The 15,250-nt window shown below is 39.2% G+C and overlaps 1 long non-coding RNA gene across 8 annotated transcripts in view; it reads right to left on the reverse strand.

Moving 5' to 3' along the window:
• The window catches only part of LOC124901339 (uncharacterized), an 84,723-nt gene that overhangs the window by 20,592 nt on the left and 48,881 nt on the right, over positions 1 to 15,250 (reverse strand). For 4 of the 8 annotated variants that reach the window (XR_007059640.1, XR_007059633.1, XR_007059639.1 and 1 more), the window contains 2 exons: positions 12,911 to 12,991; positions 5,270 to 11,935 (listed from right to left, as the gene is read on the reverse strand). The exons of 1 other annotated variant lie outside the window; for it this stretch is intronic. This is a non-coding gene — a long non-coding RNA (uncharacterized LOC124901339). Of the gene's footprint in view, positions 1 to 5,269; positions 11,936 to 12,910; positions 12,992 to 15,250 lie in introns of those variants that run through there. 3 more of the 8 variants (XR_007059634.1, XR_007059637.1, XR_007059636.1) reach the window with 3 other exon arrangements.

Raw genomic sequence — 15,250 nt, forward strand, 5'->3', positions numbered from 1 at the left:
AAAAGAATAAAAAGAAATGAACAAAACCTCCAAGAAATATGGGACTATGTGAAAAGCCCAAATCTACGTCTGATTGGTGTACCTGAAAGTGACGGGGAGAATGGAACCAAGTTGGAAAACACTCTGCAGGATATTATCCAGGAGTACTTCCCCAATCTAGCAAGGCAGGCCAACATTCAAATTCAGGAAAAACGCAGAACGCCACAAAGATACTCCTCGAGAAGAGCAACTCCAAGACACATAATTATCAGATTCACCAAAGTTGAAATGAAGGAAAAAATGTTAAGGGCAGCAAGAGAGAAAGGTCGGGTTACCCACAAAGGGAAGCCCATCAGACTAACAGCTGATCTCTCAGCAGAAACTCTACAAGCCAGAAGAGAGTGGGGACCAATATTCAACATTCTTAAAGAAAAGAATTTTTAACCCAGAATCTCATATTCAGCCAAACTAAGCTTCATAAGTGCAGGAGAAATAAAATACTTTACAGACAAGCAAATGCTGAGAGATTTTGTCACCACCAGGCCTGCCCTAAAAGAGCTCCTGAAGGAAGCACTAAACACGGAAAGGAACAACTGGTACCAGCCACTGCAAAAACATGCCAAATTGTAAAGACCATCAAGGCTAGGAAGAAACTGCATCAACTAACGAGCAAAATAACCAGCTAACATCATAATGACAGGATCAACTTCATACATAACGATATTAATTTTAAATATAAATGGGCTAAATGCTCCAATTAAAAGACACAGACTGGCAAATTGGATAAAGAGTCAAGACCCATCAGTGTGCTGTATTCAGGAGATCCATCTCACATGCAGAGACACACATAGGCTCAAAATAAAGGGATGGAGGAAGATCTACCAAGCAAATGGAAAACAAAAAAAGGCAGGGGTTGCAATCCTAGTCTCCGATAAAACAGACTTTAAACCAACAAAGATCAAAAGAGACAAAGAAGGCCATTACATAATGGTAAAGGGATCAATTCAACAAGAAGAGCTAACTATCCTAAATATATATGCACCCAATACAGGAGCACCCAGATTCATAAAGCAAGTCCTGAGTGACCTACAAAGAGACTTAGACTCCCACACAATAATAATGGGAGACTTTAACACCCCACTGTCAACATTAGACAGATTAATGAGACAGAAAGTTAACAAGGATACCCAGGAATTGAACTCAGCTCTGTACCAAGCAGACCTAATAGACATCTACAGAACTCTCTACCCCAAATCAACAGAATATACATTCTTTTCACCACCACACCACACCTATTCCAAAATTGACCACATAGTTAGAAGTAAAGCACTCCTCAGCAAATGTAAAAGAACAGAAATTATAACAAACTGTCTCTCAGACCACAGTGCAATCAAACTAGAACTCAGGATTAAGAAAGTCACTCAAAACCGCTCAACTACATGGAAACTGAACAACCTGCTCCTGAATGACTACTAGGTACATAATGAAATGAAGGCAGAAATAAAGATGTTCTTTGAAACCAACGAGAACAAAGACACAACATACCAGAATCTCTGGGACACATTCAAAGTAGTGTGTAGAGGGAAATTTATAGCACTAAATGCCCACAAGAGAAAGCAGGAAAGATCCAAAATTGACACCCTAACATCACAATTAAAAGAACTAGAAAAGCAAGAGCAAACACATTCAAAAGCTAGCAGAAGGCAAGAAATAACTAAGATCAGAGCAGAACTGAAGGAAAAAGAGACACAAAAAACCCTTCAAAAAATTAATGAATCCAGGAGGTGGTTTTTTGAAAAGATCAACAAAATTGATAGACCGCTAGCCAGACTAATAAAGAAGAAAAGAGAGAAGAATCAAATAGACACAATAAAAAATGATAAAGGGGATATCACCACCGATCCCACAGAAATGCAAACTACCATCAGAGAATACTATAAACACCTCTACACAAATAAAGTAGAAAATCTAGAAGAAATGGATAAATTCCTCAACACATACATCCTCCCAAGACTAAACCAGGAAGATGTTGAATCTCTGAATAGACCAATAACAGGCTCTGAAATTGAGGCAATAATCAATAGCTTACCAGCCAAAAAAAGTCCAGGACCAGATGGATTCACAGCTGAATTCTACCAGAGGTACAAAGAGGAGCTGGTACCATTCCTTCTGAAACTATTCCAATCAATAGAAAAAGAGGGAATCCTCCCTAACTCATTTTATGAGGCCAGCATCATCCTCATACCAAAGCCTGGCAGAGACACAACCAAAAAAGAGAATTTTAGACCAATGTCCTTGATGAACATTGATGCAAAAATCCTCAATAAAATACTGGCAAACTGAATCCAGCAGCACATCAAAAAGCTTATCCACCATGATCAAGTGGACTTCATCCCTGGGATGCAAGGCTGGTTCAACATACGCAAATCAATAAATGTAATCCAACATATAAACAGAACCAAAGACAAAAACCACATGATTATCTCAATAGATGCAGAAAAGGCCTTTGACAAAATTCAACAATGCTTCAAGCTAAAAACTCTCAATAAATTAGGTATTGATGGGACGTATCTCAAAATAATAAGAGCTATCTATGACAAACCCACAGCCAATATCATACTGAATGGGCAAAAACTGGAAGCATTCCCTTTGAAAACTGGCACAAGACAGGGATGCCCTCTCTCACCACTCCTATTCAACATAGTGTTGGAAGTTCTGGCCAGGGCAATCAGGCAGGAGAAGGAAATAAAGGGTACTCAATTAGGAAAAGAGGAAGCCAAATTGTCCCTGTTTGCAGATGACATGATTGTATATTTAGAAAACCCCATCATCTCAGCCCAAAATCTCCTCAAGCTGATAAGCAACTTCAGCAAAGTCTCAGGATACAAAATCAATGTACAAAAATCACAAGCATTCTTACACACCAATAATGGACAAACAGAGAGCCAAATCATGAGTGAACTCCCATTCACAATTGCTTCAAAGAGAATAAAATACTTAGGAATCCAACTTACAAGGGACATGAAGCACCTCTTCAAGGAGAACTACAAACCACTGCTCAATGAAATAAAAGAGGATACAAACAAATGGAAGAACATTCCATGCTCATGGGTAGGAAGAATCAATATCATGAAAATGGCCATACCGCCCAAGGTAATTTACAGATTCAATGCCATCCCTATCAAGCTACCAATGACTTTCTTCACAGAATTGGAAAAAACTACTTTAAAGTTCATATGGAACCAAAAAAGAGCCTGCATCGGCAAGTCAATCCTAAGCCAAAAGAACAAAGCTGGAGGCATCACGCTACCTGACTTCAAATTATACTACAAGGCTACAGTAACCCAAACAGCATGGTAGTGGTACCAAAACAGAGATATAGACCAATGGAACAGAACAGAGCCCTCAGAAATAACGCCGCATATCTACAACTATCTGATCTTTAACAAACCTGAGAAAAACAAGCAATGGGGAAAGGATTCCCTATTTAATAAATGGTGCTGGGAAAACGGGCTAGCCATATGCAGAAAGCTGAAACTGGATCCCTTCCTTATACCTTATATAAAAATTAATTCAAGATGGATTAAAGACTTAAATGTTAGACCTAAAACCATAAAAACCCTAGAAGAAAACCTAGGCAATACCATTCAGGACATAGGCATGGGCAAGGACTTCATGTCTAAAACACCAAAAGCAATGGCAACAAAAGACAAAATTGACAAATGGGATCTAATTAAACTAAAGAGCTTCTGCACAGCAAAAGAAACTACCATCAGAGTGAACAGGCAACCTACAGAATGGGAGAAAATTTTTGCAACCTACTCATCTGACAAAGGGCTAATATCCAGAATCTACAATGAACTCCAACAAATTTACAAGAAAAAAACAAACAACCCCATCCAAAAGTGAGCAAAGGATATGAACAGATACTTCTCAAAAGAAGACATTTATGCAGCCAAAAACACACATGAAAAAATGCTCATCATCACTGGCCATCAGAGAAATGCAAATCAAAACCTCAATGAGATACCATCTCACATCAGTTAGAATGGCGATCATTAAAAAGTCAGGAAACAACAGGTGCTGGAGAGGATGTGGAGAAATAGGAACACTTTTACACTGTTGGTGGGACTGTAAACTAGTTCAACCACTGTGGAAGTCAGTGCGGCGATTCCTCAGGGATCTAGAACTAGAAATACCATTTGACCCAGCTATCCCATTACTGGGTATATACCCAAAGGACTATAAATCATGCTGCTATAAAGACACATACACATGTATGTTTATAGCAGCACTATTCAGAATAGCAAAGACTTGGAACCAACCTAAATGTCCAACAATGATAGACTGGATTGAGAAAATGTGGCACATATACACCATGGAATACTATGCAGCCACAACAAATGATGAGTTCATGTTCTTTGTAGGGACATGGATGAAATTGGAAACCATCATTCTCAGCAAACTATGGCAAGGACAAAAAACCAAACACTGCATGTTCTCACTCATAGGTGGGAATTGAACAATGAGAACACATGGACACAGGAAGGGGAACATCACACACTGGGGACTGTTGTGGGGTTGGGGGAGGGGGGAGGGATAGCATTAGGAGATATACCTAATGCTAAATGACGAGTTAATGGGTGCAGCACACCAACATGGCACATGTACACATATGTAACAAACGTGCACGTTGTGCACAGGTACCCTAAAACTTAAAGTATAATAATAATAAAATTTAAAAAACACACATAGAATTGTATACCAAAACATTACTTTAATGGTATTTTAATTAAAAAAATTTTTGAACAGGGTTTAAAATGACAAAAACTTGACTTGAGTGGCAAAAAACATTCCTATTATTATTTAGTTTGCTTAGAATGTTTTGCTATTAAAAACAACCGTTAAACTAATATTAATGAATGTATTTAATAAAAATTACAGCAGTTAAAAGTGTTATAGTTCCCTTTTTAACAGAGGTTTTCTTTGAAAATATATTGATATTAAGATAAGGGATGCAAAGCTCAATATAATTCAATAAACATTTTTTGAGTATCTACAGAAATGCAACAAATGATATTTGTAATATTTATGAGTTAAAGATAATTATGAGACAGAAGTAACCATTAGATAGTACTAGGTAATAAAAGAGATACTAGTTACCATAGTGGTTATAATAGCTATTAATTAATAGAGCAAGTATAAGTATAATGTCCCTCAAATAGTTAGTTTAAAATTTTCTGTTAATCATTCAATGAAGACATAGATTGTAAAGAGAATCTGTACCTACCTGAGGATATGCCATTATGTAGAAATTCCAGGAGACAGGGCTAGCAGAGGAATTTCTATGGACCTGCTTATCCAAGTTTTCCTAACACAGAGACATCTACAGAGTTGAAAATAACAAGACATCAACTTACAAGACACGTTTGAGCCCCAAACTCTTAAAATATTGGGACTTTCCATAAGAATTCAACATGTACTTTGTATCTCTAATATAACTTACTCTCTGTAAACACCCAATATATATTTATTAAATTAATAGACTGCAACAAGAATAAATCTAAGTAAACAATACAAATCCAATTTGTAAAGGAAAGCGAGGGCCAAATGTGCAGAGAGACAGAATGTCAATATGGTGGCTGACATTCTAAATGCAAAAGAAACTTCCACAACATTCCTAGATTGCACATAGAAGAGAAATGGAAATGATACTTCTTCAGGATAGTTCACTGAAACTACAACCAATCCTACCTGCTCTTATCTGAACTTCTGACAAATACAAGACAATAATGAGTATACTCATCAACCTATGGCAGCTATGAGTTGAATATATAGTGGGTTGTGTGTGTTTATGTGCATGTGTGTGTATTGTGTGTGTGCAGTTGAATTTTTTATTAGTTACACATTAAAAATCAAATGTTTGACTCAGAGATGTACAGAGCTTGAAAGAACCTCACTTCATTATTGTGTGTGATAATCCACTGCCAGACAGACTGCAAGTTTATCACTTTCCTTAAACCCATCAGAAAACTGAAGTTGCAGGAAAACCCAGTAGCCCAAAATCTAAGGAATGAGAAGTGTCTGCAGGGAGACATAAGACATCTTGCTGACCTGGGGCAGACACAGACACTGGTAGAAAGAATCTAGCCAGAATAGTTAACACATTGGTAGAGGCTGCATGTGGGCTGGTAGGAGAATGTAGAGCCCCTGGGAGTTTCAGGTACAGGAGAGTTTGCACCCTCTTGCAAGCTCTTCTCCAGGAGCCCCACCAGGAACACACTGAGAAAGCAGAATAGCAGCCTCTGCCGAAAGGAGCAAGAACCCCCCACCAGGACCTTCTCCTTTATCTCTTCCGAGGAACAAAAGCTTTCACCTAAGAGGAGGGTAGTCAGCACTGCCACCCTTAGGACTCTGGGGAAAACCCATTGCAGCTGAGGAACAGAAAACACTCTCTACTCCTAGTTTGTTTATCCAGGACTGACATGAGACTTTCAGAGCTAATACTGGAAAAGTCCCTGACAAGCTGGGAGGAGTTGGTCACCCCACCCTGGGTGAGGCACTAGAATATCTACAGGACCGTAACTACAGCTGAGGGAGAGAGAGTACTGAGAAGACCACACCCCTTGTTAAGATGGGAGCTTGGCTTTGCTGGTCTGTCTTTATCTCTCATTCAAGTTTATGAAGGCCTGTTCTCAGCAGGCTGATCTTCTCATGGACATCTCGTGTTAGGCAAAGAGTTCTTAGATGTGAAAAAAACACATCATCCATACAATTTTTGAAAAGTCATAAATTTATTTTTTATCAAAATTTAAAACTTTTGCTCTGCAAATGATACTACTGAGAGAATGAAAAGACATGCTATAGGTTGGGAGAAAATATTAGCAAATCATGTGTCCCTCCAAAAAAAGACTTGTATATAGAACACACAAGGAACTCTCAACATTGAACAATAAGGAAACAATGCAATTTTCAAAATGAACAAAATATCTGAAGCAACATTTTTACCAGGGGAAATATACAGATGGACAAATAGATAACTATATAAAAAGATATTCCACTATTATTAGCCATTTATGGAAATGCAAATTGTAATTAGAATACTCCCATTGTTTGTTCATTCATCTAATTTATTAGAAAGAATTTAAGAAGAACCTAATATATATCACTTCTTATAAAAGGTTCTGAGAAAGAAAAATATCAATGCCATTGCAATTTGATAATATTTATTAGAGGTAATAGTTGAGGTAACAATGGGGTGTCTTTAAGAACTGGGAAATATGGTTTTCCTCTGAGAACTAAATTTTGATTCAGCATTAAATGCATTCAGGTTAAAAAGAGAAGTTACCACCGCAAGAATGGCTGCAAGGCTTCCAAGGCAGCCTGTGCCCTGATCACAATATTCACATACAAGAAGAAGACTGAAAATCAGACTGCCAATCATCAAAAATCAAAATACTTCCAGGTGGTTGATAAGTAGTCATGATACCCAAACCCCCAGCACTGCTTCCCTCTCCCAGACACTCTGGAACTCCCCGCAATCCAGCAGTTGGCAGAACAGGGAGCCTCCAGCAGTGCCCCCTCCTGCTGGCATTCTGCTTGACTGGAGCCCATGACGTATGGGTTATTATACATTTAGAATATCCTCCCTGAATCATCCACTCAAGTAGTTTAATCATTTATGTATCCTCAGAAAAGGCAGCATCTAAGAGGCACAGTGTGCCCAATAGAACATTTTCTAGGGTAGAGGGTACACTGCTATGCCCCCCATCATACACAAAAGGAGGCTGCAGACTTTGGGACCTTAAGATCTTTTAACAGTTAAATCCCATAGCATCTCCTGTTCTGATTTCAGGCTCACCAAGCTGGGTGGGCAGACACTGGCATGCACTAGGCTTACTAGTTACAGTTGCCATTGTGAATTAAGATTGGCATTCTGGTTTTACAGGGTAGTCTCTTGAGAGCTCAGCCCCAGAGCAGGTTAGTGTGAGTGAGCATCCTCAAGTCCGAAGGCAGCCTCTCTACCCTGCTCAATTCTCCGTGGGGAATGCCACCCAGTTAGAGGTGGGAGGAGCCAGCCAGTCTCTCCAATTAACCCACTCTGCTTATACATGCTTATCCTTGGGAATGTCTACTATCATCAGTAGTTATTGAACGTTAGTTTTCTACATTAATGCATCATGTCATTGTCTTTAAGCAGCGATGAAGCTTGTAACAGTTGTTTCTATCTTGTCTAAAGCTCATTTTAACATCAAGAAGCAATCCCTTACCTGCAGGGCTGGGACTAGAGTGAAGTGAGTAAGATGGTTAGGGTGCAAAATTTAAGGAGGCATTCACTCTCAGGGTCCTGCTAGTGCCCTGAGCCTATTTTAGGTCAGCGTTGTTGTGTCACCTGTATCTCCAGCTCCAGTGAAGAAGGGAAGAAAGTCACTGGTGATGAAATCAGCTGAGCTTATGGAAGGTAAGCAGGAGAACCAAGTTCTTGACCTTTCTCTTTTCTCCTTTTTGTCACTAACATTCTTGAAAAAATAATATGTTCTATACCAGCAGACTCTTCCTCCTTTTCCTATTCAAATTTTTTATCTATTTTCACCATTTTACAGAAATTGCTCTCACTAAGGTCACAATATGCAAAATTTGATGGCCTCATTTTAGCTTTTTTCTAAATGGTATCTCCTCAGCTTTTGACATTGACCTTGGGAAAAGGTTTGTGTCTCGTTCACCATATTTTTATCAGCATCTATCACAGATCACAGCGATTGGCTCCTAGAAAGCACTAAGTACATTTTTATTGAAAAAATAAATAACTTATTTTATTGACAAAGGAAAGAAAATCATTCCTCTTTTGTTGTGTTCTTACAGCATTTTGTTCATGGGATCTTGTGCTGTCATTCATATTTACTCATCTGTGTTCCCAAGGATTGAGAGCAACAACTGTGTGTTGTAGTTCTTTGTATCCCAGCCTAACAAAGGGCCTGACATATAACAGGTGCTCGATAAAAGTTTGTGGAATAAATACAATTGGTGACTAATGACACAATTATGATGTTCTAGTTACTCCAATGATTTGTGATAAATCATTTCAAAATACAGTGGCTGATATGCTTGGGCTGTGTCTCCACCCAAATCTCATCTTGAATTGTAGCTCCCACAATTCCCACATGTTGTGCGAGGGATCTGGTGGGAGATAATTGAATTAGGGAGTGGTTTCCCCATACTGTTCTCATGGTAGTGAATAAGTCTCACGAGATCTGATGGTTTTATAAGGGGTTTGCCCTTTCACTTAGCTCTCATTCTCTCGTCTGCTGCCATGTAAGATGTGCCTTTTGCCTTCCACCATGATTGTGAAGTCTCACCAGCCACGTGGAACTGTGAGTCCACTAAACCTCTTTTTCTTTATAAATTACCCAGTCTCAGGTATGTCTTTATCAGCAGCATGAAAATGGACTAATATAGTGGGTTAAAACAATAATCATTTATTTTCTCTCACTTTTTCTGTTGGTCAGGAATCTAGGAAGAGCTAGGCTGGATAGCTCACACTGCTTAAGTGATGGAAGGGAGGGGCCACTGATGTGGTTGCAGGCAGATGTCAGTTAGAACTGCAGGAATCTGAAGGCTTGACTGGGGCTGCAGGGAGGATCCTCTTCCAAAGTGGCTTACTCTCACTGTCAGCAAGTTAGTGCTGTCTGTTGGCAGGGGAGCTCTGTCCCTCTCCTTGTGAGCCTCTCCACAGGCCTGCTTGAGTGTCCTCATGACATGGCAACTGGCTTCCCCTAGAGTAAGCAATCCCAAGGTGGAAGCTGTGATGCCTTTTATGACCTAGCCTTAGAAGTTACATGCCGTTACATCTGCCACATTTTACTGGTCACATAGGACACGCATTCAGTATGGGAGGGGACTGAATATCAGGAAGTGAAGATCATTAGGGCTGACTTGGAAACTGGGTACAACAGATGATTGGCCATGAAAGAAAAGTTTTGAATTAAGGCAAATCTATTCTCCAGGCACACTTCTAAAGGTAATTGTAAGCTATGAAGCCTGGAAGAAACAATTGTTGCTTGATAGGATGTCCCCTATCTTTGAAGAGATGGGCATCTGGATTAATTGTATTTCTCCCTGACACCTATAGCCATACCTCAGTTCTCTCCTAATGAAGTTGCTGACAGTCTATAAGGAATTAGTCTTTACCCATCCCCAAAACAGCACACCCATCTCATGGAAGGCCAGACCAGAGTCTGGGGTTGGTTTAGGCTTAAGCAGCCTGGACTTTTCTTTGGGCAGGAACATGATTTGGTTCCTCTGGTGCACTGAGACTGCAATTAGGTTTTAGGATAAAGTGCCAAATGCATCTACCGGTATCCCCTGTGGTATGTCCCAAGACCCAGTGACAGCAGGACTTCTGGTTGTGATGTATCCTCAGAATCATCTGCACTCAGAGGAGCCTGGAGGAAACCCATCCCTGCCAACTGCCCTTGGGGTCCTTTTATAAGATAAAGAGAAGGCAGAAACTCCAAGGAAGGCTGCAGGAAACCCATTAAGAATCACATATTCCTTGGCTACAGATTTAATGACAAGTGCCCTTCTGAGCCAGGGGAGAGTCCAGTGTGTTTACTCATCCATTTTTTATTCCGTTACTTGTAATGCTTCAGAACAGATAAATTTCAAGGATCAAGAATAAAAATTAAATAAAATAGGAATACATACTCAATATAATAATTGGGAAAAAAAGATTGTGGAATACATATCTATTTTTATTCAGGGAAAATAAGCAATAATTTTGGAGGGTAGGGGCAAAATTTCTTCTTTCTTTTCTTTTTTGAAGTCAAATATGTTATATCTCATAGTATTTATACTATTTTTTATATCAAAATATGGTCTAAATGCTGCTGAATTATCCAAATAAGAACTCTAAACATTGTATTTGAACACGTCATTATTTTTAAAATTTAAATATGGCCCTATTTTTAGTCTACAGGCTGAATTTATGCAAATGATGATTAACTGAATTCTTATATTAATTTCAACTTAGCTCCACTGATATGTTATTATGCACTAATTCAACACTCATACATTCTATGGACCTTTTACCTTTGCTTTATTAACAACTTTAGTGCGATTGGTAAAAAAAAGTCTTTAAGCTGTGAAAATACTCAGTATCAGTTATGAGTTTAGAGTTGGCCTTTGAATTGTAAACTATTTCTTAGGAATAAATTAGTTCTGTAAAGTTAAACATTCTCTTTCAGCAAACCATAATGCATGAATTCTAGAATGTACAAGTTTTTACATTTAAATATCTCTGAAATAAGATGCATTTGAGAATAAATGATTCTTAGGTTCCATGAAATGCAATACGTTATTGCTTTGGTGTATTAGCAATGCTCCAGTGGCCTGGAAAAGGCTGCAAAGGCACCTGACACATGCAGCCAGGTCCGTCATCTACTTCCTATCTGTTACTTTACCAAGAAATAATAAAACCAACAAAAAGAACTACCAGAAATAATGAAAACAGGGTTGCTTTTGATGAAAGAGGCTAAAGATTGGTTTTTGAAAAATGAACCAATATCCAAAAACCTTAAATCAAATGCCCTGGCCTGCTTTGTCCCTTACACACCTCACGCACCTGTTCTCTGGCCACTCTGGCCGTAGGGGCTAATCTTGTTCTTGCCTGGGGCCTTTGTCCATGCCAATATCTTTGCCAGGAATGTTCTTCTCTCTGCTCTTTGTCAGGCTAATTTCTCTCCTGTCTTTCATTTCTTCCCTTATATGTCACCTCCCCAGAGAAATTCTCTGACTCCCAGAGTAAAGCCAAAACCCCATGATCTCACTTTGCCTGCATTATACTTACAATTTGTAATTATTATTATTTTTGAATGTATTAATTGCTGTCTTCCTTAATATATTCCTGACCCTAGGTCAGGAGCTCTCCCTAGGGCAAGGTGGCTTCCCATGATGGATGCTGATGAAAAAAATTAAGTGAGAATAACAAAAATGAATGAACGAACAAACAAATAAACAACCCCAGCAGTACACACACAACATATCCTGCTATTTTTTGATACATTTGATATATAAGATTTGGAAGACCACACGGGTTCAGAAGAGTCTTGGCAGCAGTTTAGGTGCCAGTGAGGGAATTCAATTCATTTGTTACCAATATTTGATAGTAAAATATTTGACCCTTTATATCTATAATAAAAAATGCAGGCTGGGCGCGGTGGCTCACACCTGTAATCCCAGCACTTTGGGAGGCCGAACTGTGTGGATCACCTGAGGTCAGGGTTTCAAGACCAGCCTGGCCAACATGGCAAAACCCCGTCTCTGCTAAAAATACAAAAATTAGCCAGGCATGGTGGCGCATGCCTGTAGTCTCAGATACTTGGGAGGCTGAGGCAGGAGAATCACTTGAACCCAGGAGGCGGAGGTTGCAGTGAGCTGAGATTGAGCCATTGCACTCCAGCCTGGGTGACAGAGCGAGACTCCATCTCAAAAGAAAAAAAAATGCAGAAATCTCTTTGCTACTACAAGTTCAGTTTAGTTGAAATTAGACGTATGTGTGTTTATTTCTGTATCCCATTTAAAACAACCTTGAAAGCTTTGTTTTTGGTATACAGGAATTGCTTTAATTGCTGGTCATTTCTTTGAGAAGAATAAGAAGAAAGAATATTAAGGAAGAGGTAATGGACAGCAGAGATATTTTTGCAACAAGCCTTAGAAAGATAAAAGAAACATGCAGAAAAACACTGAATTGCACAATTGCATTGTCCAAAAAGAAAGAAAGATTTTTGTAAGAGGGGCTATGGTGATGTTAGTGGTTGGCAAGGATACAGGAGAAGATATCTCAGAATCATACAAAAAGTATAGAATATTTGCAGGGAGGAAGGAGGAAAAAATATTTTGTTTTCATAAATTATAACCTATTATAAACTCCTACCTTAAGGAAGGAAGATCCTGGGAAATTTCCAGCAAGTCTTGTCTGGTCAGGAACTCTATGTGAGGTTGTACATGCTGTGTCCTGCATGAAGAGTTCAGTTAAGGTGGTGGGAGGGAACTCCAGTTCAGGCCCTGCTCACTAAGCCCTGGAGCAAAGGTGTCTTATTCTCAAGAACACAAAGTTCTCATGGGTGCTAGCAGAGGCCCTTGGCTACAGTCAATGGAAAATAATATTACAGCATGTTACTACTAATTTCAGATGTTTCTTTAGAGAGCCATCTTTATTATTTTTAATTTTTAAAATAATACTATTTTTTTTTCCTCCAAAGATTTCAGGTTCCTGTGAGGTACTGAGGAGTTAACTCCTGAGGTTGGGGAAAATGGCCCTTGATCTGCCCTTTCCTTTTATTTGAAAGACTCTCAAATTATGTAATAATAAACCTTTGTTAATGTCCCTAAAACAGGATTGACTATAAAAGACAATTCAAGATATGCCAGATACATTTGGGTTTCATCCAAAAAAGTTTAGTTCCTGAAGCACCAGTTTCTTTGTCCTTTGTAAAATGGCCTCACCCTTAAAGGATTTCATAACGAAGTTGAAAACAGAGTTATATTGAAGCATGGCTATAGCATCTGCTTAATTTAGAGCAGATTCTATTTACAGGGAGTCAGAAACTATATTATAGTCCATTGTGATAATAGTTTCTCCTTGTTCCATACATGTGTATATTACTGTTGAATTATATGTTCTTTAAAGACATATTGAATGAATCATCATTACAGCTAACATATATTGATAAATTAATAGATGCCTGGCACTGAGCTAAGTGATGATTTTTATATGAAGCAAAGGTACCCTTCTTTACTGTTGATGCAGGAATGTTAAATACTCTGCAAGGCAGGGATAATGAAAAAAGTTTAGGTATTCGAGAAGGATAATTCCTGTGTATAGAAGCTTGGGATGACAGAACTTCAGCATTAACTTGTAAAAATAACACATAGATTGGGCACAATGTGGTCGTGCTTATTGCTCTAAACTTAAAATTGATTAAATATTATATAAGGTTGGTGTTACGCTTCATGTAAAATTATGTTCTTTAGAAAATATATTGCAAAATCTGGCATATCATCTATGGTCCTATAAAAATTGACACATTTTTCAAAAGGTGGTGTAAAAGGGAAGGATTTAATTGCAGTAGTTACTTAAATGTTTATATGCACAAACACAGATACTTCTCACCATTCCATCATCTACTGATGTATAACAAACTACTACAAAATTTAGTGACCTAAAGCAACAGCCATTTTATTGCATTTCACTCTTCTGTGGGTCAGAAATCTGAGCAGGGCTTTGCTGGGTAGTCCCTTTATTCCAAGTAGGGTCGATGGAGGTCACTGAAAGGTATTCAGATGGTGGATGGGTTGGTCTGGAGGATTCAATAAAAAAAAAAAAACAAAAACGTGGAATCCAGCAGGGGATACTGGAAGGTAGGCCTCAGCTGGTACCATGACCAGAGGATGACCAGAGGCCACACACAAGTGGCCTTTCTAGGAGTATGGCAGTCTCAAGCTAGCTGAACTTTTTACATGGCAGCATGGGGCTAACAGAGAGAATATTCCAAGAGACCCAGTGGAAAATGCAAGGTTCCTTATGGCTTAACTTAGAAAATCCTGGACTATCACTTCTTTCATATTCTATAGTTAAGCAAGTCACTGAGGCCAGCTCCTTCAAGAGTAAGGAATAAGACTACTTCTCAATGGGAAGAGAGCAAAGAACATGTGGCCAACTTTAATCTACATACACCTAAACCAACAGATGGAGCGCCTGGGACACAACAACTATCCTTAGACTTTCCACATCAACAATCTCGGAACACTTAAGGCTGGATGGACAATATCTACTTCTGCAATGTGTTCCGGTCTTCTACCAACGGAAAATCGAATTCCCAGCTTTGAGCAGTTGGATTCCTGTGGTATGTGGCTGCCCCACATCTTCTTCTGCTAAGCCATTATAATCAAAAAGTATTTTTTTTGGCGGGGGGTGGGGGCAATGGAGTCTCACTCTGTCGCCCAGGCTGGAGTGCAGTGGCCTGATCTCAGCTCACTGCAACCTCCACCTCCCGCGTTCAAGTGATTCTCGTGCCTCAGCCTCCCAAGTAGCTGGGATTACAGGCGCCCGCCACCAAGCCAGGCTAATTTTTATATTTTTTTGTGGAGATGAGGTTTCGTCATGTTGGCCAGGCTGGTCTTGAACATCTGACCTCAGGTGATCTGCCCGCCTCGGCCTCCCAAAGTTCTGGGATTACAGGCGTGAGCCACCGCACCCGGCCCCAAAAGTCTT

The sequence above is a fragment of the Homo sapiens genome, chromosome 6 (assembly GCF_000001405.40).
Source record: "Homo sapiens chromosome 6, GRCh38.p14 Primary Assembly".
NCBI lineage: Eukaryota > Metazoa > Chordata > Mammalia > Primates > Hominidae > Homo > Homo sapiens.